This window comes from Homo sapiens, chromosome 19 (genome assembly GCF_000001405.40).
Source record: "Homo sapiens chromosome 19, GRCh38.p14 Primary Assembly".
NCBI classification, from domain to species: Eukaryota; Metazoa; Chordata; class Mammalia; order Primates; family Hominidae; genus Homo; species Homo sapiens.
In genome coordinates this window covers 6,251,967-6,267,173 of record NC_000019.10, presented here as the reverse complement: position 1 = coordinate 6,267,173, position 15,207 = coordinate 6,251,967, and the positions used below count along the sequence as shown (strand labels likewise).

General features: G+C 49.1%; 1 protein-coding gene across 6 annotated transcripts in view, besides 2 other annotated features; it reads left to right on the top strand.

The window, feature by feature from the left end:
- Window positions 1–15,207, top strand: part of MLLT1 (MLLT1 super elongation complex subunit) — a 69,595-nt gene that overhangs the window by 12,802 nt on the left and 41,586 nt on the right. For all 6 annotated transcript variants that reach the window (XM_047438846.1, NM_005934.4, XM_011528023.1 and 3 more), the window contains exon 3: window positions 4,864–4,946. In XM_047438846.1, coding sequence (XP_047294802.1) covers window positions 4,864–4,946 — 83 coding nt within the window. The remainder of the gene's footprint in view (window positions 1–4,863; window positions 4,947–15,207) is intronic.
- Window positions 3,141–3,640: an enhancer, noted in NCBI's record as "H3K4me1 hESC enhancer chr19:6263545-6264044 (GRCh37/hg19 assembly coordinates)". NCBI's record gives its function as "activates a minimal SCP1, AML or CMV promoter by ChIP-STARR-seq in naive H9 embryonic stem cells {active_cell/tissue: H9 hESC(naive)}" and the evidence as "EXISTENCE:reporter gene assay evidence [ECO:0000049][PMID:30033119]".
- Window positions 3,641–4,142: an enhancer, noted in NCBI's record as "H3K4me1 hESC enhancer chr19:6263043-6263544 (GRCh37/hg19 assembly coordinates)". NCBI's record gives its function as "activates a minimal SCP1, AML or CMV promoter by ChIP-STARR-seq in naive H9 embryonic stem cells {active_cell/tissue: H9 hESC(naive)}" and the evidence as "EXISTENCE:reporter gene assay evidence [ECO:0000049][PMID:30033119]".

Here is a 15,207-nt window from a genome sequence, read left to right as displayed (position 1 = left end):
GCCGAGATCATGCCAGTGCACTCCGGCCTGGGCGACAGAGCGAAACTATGTCTCAAAAAAAAAAATTCTTTTAGAGATGGGGGTGTCGCTGTGTTGCCCAGACTGAACTCCAACTCCTTGGGCTCAAGCAGTCCTCCCGCCTCTGCTTCAGGAGTAGCTGAGTTTACAGGTGTCAGCCGCCTTACCTGGCTTTCTGGCTTGTTTGTAAAGTCCTCTGAGTGTTTCATGCTGGTTCTCTGTGCCTTCCTTCTCTAATCACAACGGACTCTTATCCAGCCACCCCTTTAGCCACTACCCTGGGCCTTTTCTCTCCTGTTCTCCTGAGGTTTGTTTATCGGCCTGTGTTTTGGTTTATTTTCTTGTTTTGGTAGAGCAGTGTCTCAAGTAATATTCCAAGAGATTACTTCAGACATTTCTGGCTGGGCGCAGTGGCTCATGCCTGTAATCCCAGAACTTTGGGAGGCTGAGGCAGGCGGATCACCTGAGATCAGGAGTTCAAGACCAGTCTGGCCAACATGGTGAAACCCCATCTCTACTAAAATTACAAAAAGTTAGCCAGGGGCAGTGAGGATGCCTGTAATCCCAGCTACTCGGGAGGCCGAGGCAGGAAAATCGCTTGAACCTGGGAGGCAGAGGTTGCAGTGAGCTGAGGTCGTACCACTGCACTCCAGCCTGGGTGACAGAGAGAAACTCTGTCTCAAAAAAACAAACAAACAAAAAAAATTTATAAGACGTGGGCAGTAAACCCTTTGAGTCCTAGCATGTTTGAAAATGCCATTATTCTCTTCTCACAGTAGAATGGTTGGTTGGGTGTAGTTTTGTGGTTTGGGAATTACAGGTCAAGAATCCCTAAGCTGAAAATCCGAAATCCAAAACTTTTTTTTTTTTTTTTTTTTTGGAGACAGAATCTCATTCTGCCACCCAGACTGGAGTGCAGTGTTGTGATCACAGCTTACTGCAGCCTTGACCTTTGGGCTGAAGCAGTCCTCCTGCCTCAGCCTCCCAAGTAGCTGAGACTACTGGCCCGCCACCATACCCAGCTAACTTTTTTATTTTTTGCAGAGACGGGATTTCACCATGTTGCCCAAGTTGGTCTTGAACTCTTGGGCTTAAAATCTTCCCGCCTTGGCCTCCCAAAATGCTGGGATTACCGGCGTGAGCCACCATGCCCGGCTTAAGATCCAAAACTTTTTTTGAAACAGAGTCTCACTCTGTCGCCCAGGCTGGAGTGCAGTGGCGCGTTCTCGGCTCACTGCAACCTCCGCCTCCCGGGTTCAAGCGATTCTCCTGCCTCAGCCTCCTGAGTAGCTAGGACTACAAGCCCCCACCACCACCCTTGGCTAATTTTTGTATTTTTAGTAGAGACAGGGTTTCACCATGTTGGTCAGGATGGCCTCAATCTGTTAACCTCGTGATCCGCCTGCTGCAGCCTCCCAAAGTGCTGAGATTACAGGCATGAGCCATTGCACCTGGCCAAGATCCAAAACTTTTGTTGTTGTTGTTGAAACAGAGTTTCACTCTTGTTGCCCAGGCTGGAGTGCAATGGCGCGATCTTGGCTCACTGCAACCTCCGCCTCCCAGGTTCAAGCTATTCCCCTGCCTCAGCCTCCCGAGTAGCTGGGATTACAGGCGTGCACCACCTCACCTTGCTAATTTTGTATTTTTATTAGAGATGGGGTTTCTCCATGTTGGTCAGGCTGGTCTTGAACTCCTGACTTCAGGTGATTCGCCTTCCTCAGCCTCCCAAAGTACTGGGATTACAGGCGGGAGCCACTGCACCCAGCCGATCCAAAACTTTTTGAGTGCTGACATGATGCTCAGAAAATGCTCACTGGAGCATTTTAGATTTTGGATTTTTGGGATGCTGAACCAGAGGAATGCGAATATTCCAAAGTCTGAAAAATCCCAAATTCACAACACTCCTGCTCCCAAACATTTTGGGAGTATATATCACTTAGTGCTATGAAGGCGTTGTGTTAGTATCTTCTGGAAAGTCTGATGCCATTCGGTCCTCATCCCATTATATGTGACCTGTTTTTTTCTGTGGAAACATTTAGGATGTTTTTATGTTTTTAGGACGCTTGCTTTATGACATCATGTTTTTTTTTGTTTTTTTGTTTTTTTGTTTTTTTTTTGCTGTTCACTATGTTTTGTGACATTTGAGTGTCTTTCATTTTAGCTCTGAAAGTTTCCTTCTATTTATTTGACAGTTTCCTTCCATCTGTTTATTTCCTCTCTTTTTTTCTTTCTGGGATCCTCATTTTTTTTTTTTTTTTTTTTTAACAGAGTTTCGCTCAGTCACCTAGGCTGGAGGGCAGTGGCACTATCTTGGCTCACTGCAACCTCCACCGCCTGGGTGCAAGTGATTCTCGTGCCTCAGCCTCCCAAGTAGCTGGGATTACAGGTGCGCACCACCACGCCTGGCTAATTTTTTGTATTTTTAGTAGAGAATGTCATCCAGGTTGGCCTTGAACTCCTGGTGTCAAGTGATCCTCCCACCTCGGCCTCCCAGAGTGCCTAGGATTACAGGTGTGAGCTGTGGTGCCTGGCTGTAATTTCCCCTTTTAGAAGTATCTTATTTTTATTTGTTGGATATATATCTCCTTGAATCTGAGGACATTGACTCTTGGTTTTTATTTTTTTTCTTTCTTTTTGTCAAACTCTCTGTGGTCTCCAAATTATTTGTTTGCTCGGGCTCTTTCCTCCTGGTGGGAGCTCCTGAGCGTTATGTGATGGGAGGGTGGGTTCTGCCTATCCACAGGCCTGAAGGCTCACGGGCCTCCTGATTTCCTAATGAGTAAGGCCTTCCTCGGGGTCTGGTTTCCACGCTGCAAGTTTCAGCTTCCCCCTGATAGTTGGCTCCTTGAGACACAGAACCATCTCAATTTCTCCAGAGGGAAACCTGAAACTTCCTGGGGTGGGGAGGGGTGGAGGGGGAATGGGCGGGAAGGAGGATGGGCAGGAGGGAGGGATCCCAGGGCTCCTGTGCCCAACACAGCCTTTCAGTTTGCCCTTTTGTTTTTTTTTAATAACCGCTTTATGGAGATGTAATTTACACATCATAAAATTCACTCTTGTAATGTGTACAGTTAGCGTTTTCAGTATATTCACATAGTTGTGCGGCCATGACCACTGATTCCATCACTGCTGTCTAATTCCAGAACATTGCTGTCACCCCAGGGAGAAGCTCAGGCCCCGCAGTGGCAGTCGCTCCCCTGCTCCCACCCTCCTCCCCCACCGTGCTCCCTTTCCCTCCCCCAGCTTTCATCCTCACTCCTGCCCTCCGCTCAGCCAGTCCAGGACCTTCAGCCTTCTGGCACCAGTGGCTGTCCCTGCCCTGCGGCGCCCCCATGGCAGACTCTGAGCCGTCGCCTCCTTGTCCTGCCCCTTGCCCATCGTGTCCTCGTCCGACTTCTGCCTTTCAGAAACTGGCAGGTGGCTTGAATCTCCTCCCTCCTGCCTTCACTCTCACGGCCTTATTCCTGTCCTCTTGCTTCCTGTGGGCTCTCAGGCAGGAGAGTGGGCCGGTGCGTCTCCCTGTTCTCCCCTGGTTGAATTGAAGCACTCGGCCAACTGCCATCCCTCTTGGCGCTGTCTGGGGGGATAGAAGTTCTTCAGGCTTGGAGTACCCGTCACAGGACAGGATTCCTTCTTGAAGGCGTGGGGACCATGAGATAAGATGTGACAGTCGATTTGGGAAGCACGTGACCTGGAGGTCAGAGGCAGAGGGACATGGGGTCTGTTTCTCGAAGGAGGTGGCCCTGCTGTGGGCCTTTGTGGCTGGGTGGGATTCAGACTATGGGCGAGTGGGGAGAAGACGAGGCATGGGTGGAGTCTGAGAGCAAATCCCAGGCCACTGCCCATGCCCGTGCCTCCTCTGCTGGGGACAGGCCACCCTTCCTCTGTTCTGCCTCCGCTTTCCTCCCCAGGTTCAGATTAAGTATTCAGGTGCCTGGCCTCATGCTGCACTTTGTTTATTTATTAATTTTTTAAATGGAGTCTCGCTCTGTTACCCAGGCTGGAGTGCAGTGGCACAATCTCCGCTTACTGCAACCTCTGCCTCTGGGGTTCAAGCGATTCTCCTGCTTCAGCTTCCTGAGTAGCTGGGATTACAGGTGTGTGCCACCACGCCCAGCTAATTTTTGTGTTTTTATTAGAGACGGAGTTTCATCATGTTGGCCAGGCTGGTCTCGAACTCCTGACTTGAAGTGATCCGCCTGCCTTGGCCTCCCAAAGTGCTGGGATTACAGGTGTGAGCCACCGTGTCCGGCCTTTTTTTTTTCTTTTTTAATCTCTGGGGTCAATGGGGTTTTGTTTGCGTCACTTGGGAATGCTCTTATTAGGTGCTAAACTAGAACCCAGGAGGAGGGTCCCAGCCACCTGGGGCTCCCCTGTCTCCCAGTGCATGTGTCCGTGGTGCAGCAGGTGCTCAGCCCCCGTGCTGGAGGTGGTGACAGTAGAGTGTGTGGCCCTCCCTGCTGGGTTTCACACCTCACCCAGGTCACGCTTACCGACATCCACCTGAGTCGGGCAAACTTGTGCAGCCTTCTCTGGCCTCAGCCTCCTCATCCTCTGCAGGAGCAAGTATCCCGATGACAGGCTAACGTTCCTTCTCACTCTCTGCTGACCATGCCGGTGGCCAAGTCTCCTTTCTCCTCTTCTTCCCTGCTGTTTTATTCCTAAGATAACTTTGCCGTGGAAGTCAATCCTGTCGGGGGCTTAACCTCCTGAAAAGCCACCCCCGAGAGGCCAGCCAAGCCCCTGTGAGGAGGTGGTGGGGTTGAGGGGTGCGGTACTGCCGCTGGCAGCTGGGCCTGAAACAGGCAGGAGGCTGATGGGTGTGTTTCTTCCTTTTCTTTTTAGTGTGCAAGGAGCCCCCCTACAAAGTAGAGGAGTCGGGGTACGCTGGCTTCATCATGCCCATCGAGGTGCACTTCAAAAACAAGGTAGGATCCCTGAGGGGAGCAAGCAGGATGCCTCTCTGTGGGGACCCCTGCTCCGGGTGCCACGGCAGTTCACAAAACAGGCCAGAGAACTGGCCGCTGCCCATGCACAGACATTCCAGTGAGTGCTGCGGGGGGTGCTGGTCACCATCTCCATTCCTGGGGACGTCGGGGGCCAGGACACGGCTGGTTTCATGACAGCAGGTGGGCGTGTCCCTTGGTCTGCTTCTCTAGGGGAGCTGCTGGGCCACCTCCTGTCCAGTTGCCTAGAAAATGTGCCAGCAGTGACATCCCCTGTCAGGGCCAGCTTCCTCGACGGTCCTAGAGGGTTAATAACCGGGCCGTGTGTAGTGACTGAGATCAGGAAATAGCATAAATATCTGATTACAGTCCGATTACGATGCGTCTTCTGGGCAGAATCTTTGATGACCTTCAGAATTAACGAAGCAAGCTACATATATAATACTTGAAGGAAAAAGGAGTTATCTCTATCCAGAATGTTGGCGCGGGTCATCTGGGTGGTGGGAGTCCAGGGGGTTTTCTTTTCTTTTCTTTCATCTGTAGTTTTTCACTTTTTTTTTTTTTTTTTGGCCTAATGATTAAAACAACTCAGAGCCTGCCCCTGCTCCTCCTCCCAGGTGTCACCACAGGGCCAGCGGTGACATTTCCTGGCTTGTGGCTTGTCCATGGCCGGCTGCTTTCCCACAAGTGCAGCTGGCCCGGCATGGAGGCAACGCTGGGGAAGGAGGTGTCCCTGGGAGGCCTGTGGATGCCGCCCCGCTTGGTTACTGAGTCCCCGGTTTGTACCTGGCGGTGCCGGGCTGCGTGGCTGCCATTCCACTTTTCCACAAACCCTCTGGCACGAAGGGCCTTGAGGAGAGGCATTTGGCGTGCGGCCGTCCTAGGAGCCGGGTGACGTTTCAGCCGGTGCAGCTTGGCCGATTTCAGATGCAAGGCCTCGCGCGGGGTCCAGTTCACAGAAACCTAGGTCATTCTGAGGCTTTGTTGGAATTGAGGCCCCGCTGGGAGAAGAGCCGAACCTGCCTGCAAGTGGGCCTCCTGAGGGGTGAGTGGTCCCTGCCTTTGGGCCTATGGGGCCACCCCTCTGCCAGGTGTGTGCCCGGGCTCCCAGTCTCCCCAGCTGTATCCGGTGAGCGTATGGAAGGGGAATGAGAACAGCAGCCCCCTCTTGGGGCGGTTGAGGGGATTGCTCGAGCCCATCTGCAAAGGTGCTCCACAGCCCAGGCACTGGTATTCTAGCGGGTGGGCTGTGGGACCACCATCTGTATGGGCAGTTTAAACTCGCCTCTGGGGTGACTTAGATTAAGGTCCTCTGAGGTTCAGAAGCAGTTTGGGCCAGCAAGGCATTTTTTGTTTTGTTTTTAGAGACAAGGTCTTGCTCTTTTGCCCAGGCTGGAGCGCAGTGGTGCAATCATAGCTCACTGTATCCTCAACCTACCAGGCTCAAGCGATCCTCCCACCTCAGCCTCCCAAGTAGCTGGGACTACAGGCACTTGCCACTGTGCCCAAGCTCAGTGAGGTTTTCTGTGTTCCCAGACACCTGTCTGGTCCCTGACACGGCCTTCAGCCACCTGGGGACTGGTGGCATCCATTCTACTTCCTAGTGCCCTCAGGCAAGGGGCTCCGGCTGCTGCCTGGCTCCGCCGTGGGCTGCCCGTGGATTCGGAGGCAGGTGGGGCAGGGCCTGGCCAGTGCTGTTTGCTGCTTGTCATCCTTGCTTAGTAGGGGCAACTTCAGGCGAGATGCAGGCCAGCCGCTCCCAAGTGTGGCAGAAACCCATACTGTGTGGTGCCACTGTACCCAGTGCAGCAGGGGCCCTAAGTGGCTGCCACTCAGGTGCCCCTACCTGCTGTGTCCTGCAGCACTCAACTGAGTCTGAAATGCAGACTCCAGGGCTGTTTCTGTCCTGACTTCCTGAAGCTCCACCCTTGCATCCTGGCCCTGTAGATAAAGGGAGCCGGGGGCCCTTTGACCATAGGATTGTCACTACTGGGCCCAGCATCCTCCCCTGTGTGGGGGTGTCGAGAGGGCAGAGAGCCCTCTCTGAATCCCTGCCTGCTCTTTTGGGATCCTGGGGGCTTCATTTAGGGTGTGGGGGCATGTAGTTGCATGGGGGGCATGGGACCCCATGTTCCTCTAGAGCTCCTGTTGCCTGGTTCCTCTGGAAGGCCCCAAGCGTGGTGCCAGCTCCCTCGGTGCCCTTCAGCAGGAGCATGTGCACTTCCAGCAACCCATGGTAACATAGTTGGGTTAAGATGTTTTCTTTAAGTCTAGTTTGTCGAGGTATAATTTACATATAGTAAAATTCTCCCATTTTAGATGTAGCAGGTTTTTCAAATCTCAGCATGTGCTTTCATTGAGCCCTTTTGGAGGATGGCCAGTTTTTCTGTTTTTTTTTTTTTTTTTTTTTAAGTCATGTTTCTTGGTGTTTATTTGTCTGAATAATTCCTGCAGAAGCCGCGTAGCTGGGCCCGGAGTTCTGCCATGAGCCTGTGCTGAGAATCGCAGCGCTCCCTCTCTCTCAGGACAGAGGCCAGCCGCTTCAGTGTACCATGTGCCCGATTGCCTGGGAACCCTCTCTTCCTGGGGTGGTTGTAGAGGGTCCTACACCGGGAGTACCAGTGGCCCCACGGCAAGGTCCAGGGATGCAGGTCCTCCTCACAGCGGCAGTGGTGTGTGTGCTGTCCACAGGTGGAGGAGATCCTGGATCCCGAGTCACTTGGTCAAGCCTCAGAAGTTGGCAGAGCTAGGATTGGAACCAGCTCTTTGTAAACACACACCAGTTGTCCAAATACCTGAGACAGGCATGACCTAGAATGACAGTGCTTGATGAGTTTTGGTGCCAGGGATAGGAGTGTGTCATGGCTGCAGGATTTGGAACACGATTAGGGACAGGGTCATAGTGCATGGGTTTGCTGGTGGTTTTTCTACCTGGTGTAGCCAGGGCTCGCGTTTGGTGGTTAGCCATGGCTTACTCCTCGGTGGGAGGTCAGGTAAGTGGAATAAGGAGTAAACAGAGGTTGGTGACGGGGTGGGTTTGGGGAGGCGCTGGTGTGTCCAGACTGGGTAGGGAGAGAGCTGCGGAGACCGCAGTTTGGAGGTGGACACGCCAGCGTTCAATCTCAGAGCCTGGCTGTGTCACCGTGAGTGGGACACTCCTCTGGGCCTCAGTTTGTCTATCCATAAGATGGGGTTTCTGGCTGCGTCTGCTTCTCAGGCATCAGGAAGATTAAGAGGGAGACAGCAGGTGTAGCACTTGGCCCGGCGCGTGGCACATAGTAGGCATTTCATCCTTTCATTGTTGAGATGGTATCGGCTCCTTCCAGTCAGTCTGGGCAAGGAAGTTCAGTGGAGAAAGGGAGCCTCAGACCTCAGAGGGCCCAAAGGAGGTTGAGGGTCCTGCGATGAAAAAGATGTTGTTTGGCTTCGCCGGCGAGTGTGGCTCTAAGACCGGAGCAGAAAAGGTGCTTTCTCCGACAGCTCTATTCTTGTATAAGCATGAGGGTTTTTCAGCGAGTGCACTTGACCTTGAATATGGCATCGCCTGTATAATGAAGGAATTGTGCTTTATGCAGTGTTAGGCATTAGAACGTAACTGAGGCCGCATTTTGTTTGACCTGTTGGTAGGATGTCCTTTTACAGAAAAATCACTCCTTTCTCTCAAGGAAAAAGAATTTGGAAGGCCTCATCTGATTGCAAAGTAATACATGTGTGTTGTGAAGAAGTTTTTCCGAAGCAAGACGACAGCGTTGCCTTGCTTGACATCTGCTGGGAACATGCGTGTTGGGCAGCTCAACCTTTCTGCTGTTCTGGGCATGTCTGCAAATGACTGTGAAAGCTGACAGTATCAGTTTGGGGTTGCAAATGAACTTCAGTGAGGAGGTAAATTCAAAAGTATGGAATCTACACAGAATGACGGACAGCTATACCATTTTCTGTTTATCCATTCATCTGTGGATAGACGTTTGGGCTGTTTCTACCCATTTGCTATGGGGAATAGTGCTGCTGTGAACGTGTGTGAGTGTGTGTTTGTACTTGTTTGAGTGCCCGTTTTCAGTTCCTCTGGGTGTATACACCTAGGAATGGAATTGCAGGCTCATACAATAATTTTCTGTTTAGCTTTCTGAGGAACTGCTAAGCCGTTTTCCAGTGGCTGTATCCTGTCATAGGTCCACCAGCAATGTGTGAGGGTTCCTGTTTCTCCAGATCCTCAGCAATGCTTGTTTTCTGTTTCTTAAAAATTATAGCCATCCTCTAGGGTATAGAGCGGTAACTGTTGAGGTTTTTATTTGCATTTCCTTGATGACCCGTGATGTTTCACGTCTTTTCACATGCTTGCTGGCTGCACGTATCTCTTTCTCGAGAAATGTCTAGATATATCCATTGCCCATTTTTGTTTGTTTTTTTCCGAGATGGAGTCTCACTCTTTTGGCCAGGCTGGAGTGCAGTGGCGCCATCTCGGCTCACTACAACCTCTGCCTCCTGGGTTCAAGTGATTTTCCTCCCTCAGCCTCCCGAGTAGCTGGAATTATAGACTCCCGCTGCCACGCCCAGCTAATTTTTGTATTTTTAGTACTGATGGGGTTGCGCCATGTTTGCGAGGCTGGTCTCAAACTCCCAATCTCAAGTGATCCATCTGTCTTGGCCTCCCAAAGTGCTGGGATTACAGGCGTGAGCCACCATGCCCAGCCCGTTGTCCATTTTTGAATTAGGTTGTTTGTTTTTGTTGTTGTGTTATAGAAGTTTTTTAAATATTTTGGGTATGTGATTTCAAATATCTTTTCCCCTTTTTTAGGTGTTTTTTTTTTTTTTTACATTCTTCATAATGTCTGCTTTTTGAGCAGGGTCTCACTCTGTTGCCCAGGCTGGAGTGCAGTAGTGTGATCTTGGTTCACTGTAACCCTGACTTCCTAGGCTCAAGCAGTCCTCCCACCCCAGCCTCCCAACTAGCTGGGATCACAGGCGTGAGCTGCCGCACCCAGCCCTGATAATGTCCCTTGTTGCATGAATGTTTTAAATGTTTATGAAATTCTATTTATCTGTTTTCTCTTGTCGCTCACACCTTTGGTGTCAAATCTGTGACTCCATTGCCAAATGAGGTCATGAAGATTTGCCCCATGTTTATTTACACCAGTTTCATAGTTGTAGTCCTTATACGTAGAGAGTTGATCCATTTTCGAGTGAACTTTCATATATGAAGTGAAGTGGGGGTCTAACAGTATTCTTTTGCATGTGGTTTTCCAGGTGTCCCAGCACCGTTCACTGAAGAGACTGTTCTTTCGCCATCGAGTGGTGTTAGAGCGTTGTTGAAAATCAGCTGGCCATAGATTTGGGGTTTAAAACTGGACTCTGAATTCTATTTCATTGGTCTACGTGTCTGTGCTTATGCTGGCCATACTGTTTTGATGACTGTAGTTGTATAGGAAGGTTATTTTTATTTTATTTTATTTTATTTTGAGACGGAGTCTGGCTCTGTCGCCCAGGCTAGAGTGCAGTGGCGCCATCTCGGCTCACTGCAAGCTCCGCCTCCCGGGTTCACACCATTCTCCTGCCTCAGCCTCCCGAGTAGCTGGGACTACAGGTGCCCGCCACCACGCCTGGCTAATTTTTTGTATTTGTAGTAGAGACCAGGTTTCACCGTGTTAGCCAGGATGGTCTCGATCTCCTGACCTCATGATCCACCCACCTCGGCCTCCCAAAGTGCTGAGATTACAGGCGTGAGCCACCGTGCCCCGCCTTTTTTTTCTTTTTTTGTCAGAGTCTTGCTCTATCACCCAGGCTGGAGTGCAGTGGTGCAATCATGGCTCACTGTAGCTTTGACCTCTTGGGCTCAGGCAGTCCTCCCACCTCAGCCTCCCAGGTAGCTGGAACCACGGGCCTGCACCACCACATCCAGCTAATTTTATTATTTTTGTAGAGATGGGGTCCCATTGTGTTGCCCAGGCTGGTCTTTTTATTTATTTATTTATTTATTTATTTATTTATTTATCTTTTTGAGACAGAGTTTCGCTCTTGTCCAGGCTGGAGTGCAGTGGCACGATCCTGGCTCATCGCAACCTCTGCCTCCCAGGTTCAAGCGATTCTCCTGCCTCAGCCTCCTGAATAGCTGGGATTACAGGTGCCTGCCACCGTGTCTGGCTAATTTTTTGCATTTTTAGTAGAGATGGGGTTTCACCACATTGGCCAGGCTGGTCTCGAACTGACCTCAGGTGATCTACCTGCCTCGGCCTCCCAAAGTGCTGGGATTACAGGTGTGAGCCACCGTGCTTGGCCCAGGCTGGTCTTGAACTCCTGGCCTTAAGCGATCCTTTCGCCTTGGGCCCCGAAAATGCTGGAATTACAGGTGTGAGTCAGCGCGCCCAGCCTTGTAGGAAGTTTTGAAATTGGCAAGTGTGAGTCCTCTAACTCTGTGTTTTGTTTTTCCCTCTTCCATATGAGTTTGGTTATTCTGTGCCCCTTGTGATTCCATATGAACTTGAGGTTTGACTTTTCCATTTTTGCAAAAAATTATATTGGAATTTTGATAGGGATTCTATTGTATCTAGTCATTTTTGAAACATCTTAACAATATTAAGTTTTCAGTCCATGAACAAGGAATGTCTTTCCACTTAATTAAGTCTTTAGGTTCTTTCAGCAATATTTTATAGTTTTCAGTATACATAAGTCTTTTACCTGTGTGCTTAAATTTATTCCTAGGTTTTTTTGCCTTGTTTTGTTTTGAGACAGAGTCTGTCCATCACCTAGGCTGGAGTGCAGTGGCACGATCTTGGCTCACTGCAACCTCTGCCTCCTGGATTCAAGCGATTCTCCTGCCTCAGCCTCCCGAGTAGCTGGAATTACGGACGTGTGCCACCACGCCCAGCTAATTTTTGTATTTTTAGTAGAGATGAGGTTTTGCCATGTTGGCCAGGCTGGTCTCAAACTCCTGATATCAAGTGATCCGCCCACCTCGGCCTCCCAAAGTGCTGGGATTACAGGCATGAGCCACTGTGCCTGGCCTTATTCCTAGGTATTTTATTCTTTGGAATGCTATTGTAAATGGAATTCTTTCCTAATTCCCTTTTTGGATTCTTCATTGCAGGTGTATAGAAGCACAGCTGATTTTGTTTTTGTTTTTCCTGTAGACCTCCTCTCTGGACAGCACAAACAATTTTTGTGTATTGATCTTGTACCCTGCAGCTTTAATGAATTTATTATTAGCTTTAGTAGGGTGTTGTTTTTTTTTTTTCTTTTGTTGATTTTTTTTTTTGTGTGTGGCTTCTTTGGGATTTTCTGTATATGGAATCATGTCATCTGCAAATAGAGGTTCCAGTTTGGATGTCTTTCGTCAAAGTCTTTTCCTTGCTTTACTGCCCTGGCTAGAACATGCAGCACAGTGTTGAATAGCAGTGGAGAGGGTGGGCATCCCGCGTGGTTCCTGATCTCAGGGGAAGAGTTTCCAGCCTTTTTCCATTGAGTGTGATGTCAGCTGTGAACTTTCTGTAAATGCCCTTTATCAGGTTAAGGAAATTCCCTTATAGAAGAAGGAAAAACCTGTTCTCCACTCACAACATTTCTGACACCAACTGTGTGGGTTTCCCAGACATTACAGTTCTCCAGTTCTCCACAGACACCACTTGGGGGTCCTGCAGTTGAATTCAGTGATGTCATCCACGACCTGGAGTTAGCGCAAGCTCCCAGGTTAAGAGCCCAGTTTCACAGGACAGCCCCCACTTCAGATGCCAGTCGCGAGTCCCAGACTGCCACCTGTACTCAACCGGCCATAAATCGGGTGTTGCCCCTCCTTATGTTCAACAGTTCTCTATAACGGCTCACAGAACTCAGGAAAACATTTTACTTCCATTACTGGTTTGTTGTAAAGAGTGCGATTCAGTAATGGCCAAACCTTGCTGCATGGGGCAGGCTATGTGGGAAGGGTGCTGACGTTCCATGCCCTCAGACGGGCCAGCCTGGAAGCTCTCGGAACCCCTTTGTGTAAGGTGTTTATGGAGACTCCATTGTGTGGGCATGATTGATTAAACCATTGGCCATTGGTGATTAAACTAAATTTCCAGCCCCTTTGCCCTCCCTAAGAGGTCAGGGGGTGGGGCTGAAAATTCCAGCCACCTATCACATGATTGGTTCCCCTGGCAACCAGCCCCCATCCTGAAGCTATCTAGGGGCATTCAGTCAGCAGACACCTCATGAACGAACGAAAAGATGCTCGTATCACTTCCAAGATTTCAAGGATCTTAGAGGCCTTTGTGTCAGGAACCCAGGACTAAGACCCAATATTAAAACAAAACAGGCTTCTATCACCACCATCTCTCAGAAAGTGTTTTAGCAGCTCGGTGCCAGGACTAGGAGCAGAGACCAAATATATATATTTCTTACCGTGTCACACCTTCTTTTTCTAGTTTGCTGAATGACGTTTTTCTAAATCATGAATAGGTGTTGAGTTTTGTCACATGCTCTTATCTGTCTCTAATGAGAAAATCATGTAGATTTTTTCTTCCTTTTATTAATGTGCTGTATTACGCTGATGGATTTTTATGTAGGAACCCCCTGCCGCCTTGCATTCCTGGGATAAATCCCTCTTGGTTATGGTATATAATCTTTTTAGTGTGCTGTTGGATTGGGTTTGCTAGTATTTTGTTAAGGATTTTTGTGTCTGTATTCATAAGGAACATTGCTGTGTGGTTTTCTTGTGGTATCTTTGTCTGGCTTTAGTATCAGGGTAATGCCGCCCTCATAAAGTGAGTTAGGAGGTATTCCCTCCTCTTCTAAGTTTTGGTAGAGTTTGAGCAGGAGTGGTGTTTGTTCTTTGAATGTTCCATGGAGTTCAGTGAACTCTCTGGTCTTGGACTTTTCTTTGTGGGAAGTATTTGATTTCTGATTCCGTCTCTTGATATCAATGTGTTGAGATTCTCCACTTCTTTTTTTTTTTTTTTTTTTTTTTTTTTTTTGAGATGGGGTCTCGCTCTGTCGCCCAGGCTGGAGTGCAGTGGCGCAATCTTGGCTCACTGCAAGCTCTGCCTCCCGGGTTCATGCCATTCTCTTGCTTCAGCCTCCCGAGTAGCTGGGACTACGGGTGTGCCCACCATACCTGGCTAATTTTTTTTTGTATTTTTAGTAGAGACAGGGTTTCACCATGTTAGCCAGGATGGTCTCGATCTCCTGACTTCATGATCCGCCCACTTCGGTCTCCCAAAGTGCTGGGATTACAGTCGTGAGCCACCATGCCCAGCCCTACTTCTTGATTCAATTTTAGTAATTTGCTTCTAAGGTTATGTCTTATTTACATTATCTAGCTGGCATATAGTTGTCTATAGTATTCTCATAATTCTTTTAATTTCTATAAGATTGGTAGTTCCCACTTTTATTTCTGATGTGGGTTATTTATGTTCTTTTTTTTAAATACTAGCCAAAGGTTTGTCAATTTAGTTGATCTCTTCAAAGAAAAAACTTGATTTTATTGATTCACTCTATGCCTTTTATTGCGTATTTTATTTCTGTTCTTTTCCTTCTGTTAGCTTTGAGTTTAGTTCTTTTTCTAATTCCTTAGGGTGTAGAAGGAGTCATTGATTTGATGTCACTCTTATTTTTGAATGTAGGTGTTTACAGCTGTACATTTCGCTCTGAGCACTGTGTACACTGTATTCCATATGTTTCGATATATTGTGTTTTGTTTTCATTATCTCAAAAGTATCTTCTAATTCTCCCAGTGATTTCTTCTTTGACCCATTGGTTGTTGTATTTGTTGGGGTTTTTTCTCCAGACAAAATCAATAGGAGAGACAGATAGATAGATACCCAGATACGAGAGGGAACTTATTGGGGGAATAGGCTCACGTGATTGTGGAGGCCGAGAAGTCCCGTGACAGGCCACCTGCAAGCTGGAGATCTGGGTTGCCGGCAGCACAGCTCCCCTCAAGCTCAGACGCCTCCGCAGCAGAGAAACCCTGCTGTAATTGTCAGTCTGAGGTCGAAAGCCTGGTACTGAGGGTGTGAGGCCAGAGTCCTAAGGCCACAGAGGGAGAGAGGCAGATGGAGAGATTGCCCTCCCTGACTTTTTGTCCCTTTAGAGACAGATGGCCATTTCTCTGTTTTTTGTCCCATCTGCAACCCAACCAGTTGGATGGTGCTGGTCCACACTGAGGGCGAGTCTTCCCTCCTCGGCCCGACTTACATGCCAGTGTCCTCTGGAAACACCCTCATAGACACACCCAGAAATAATGCCTTACCGGGTCTCTAGGTTCTTTTTT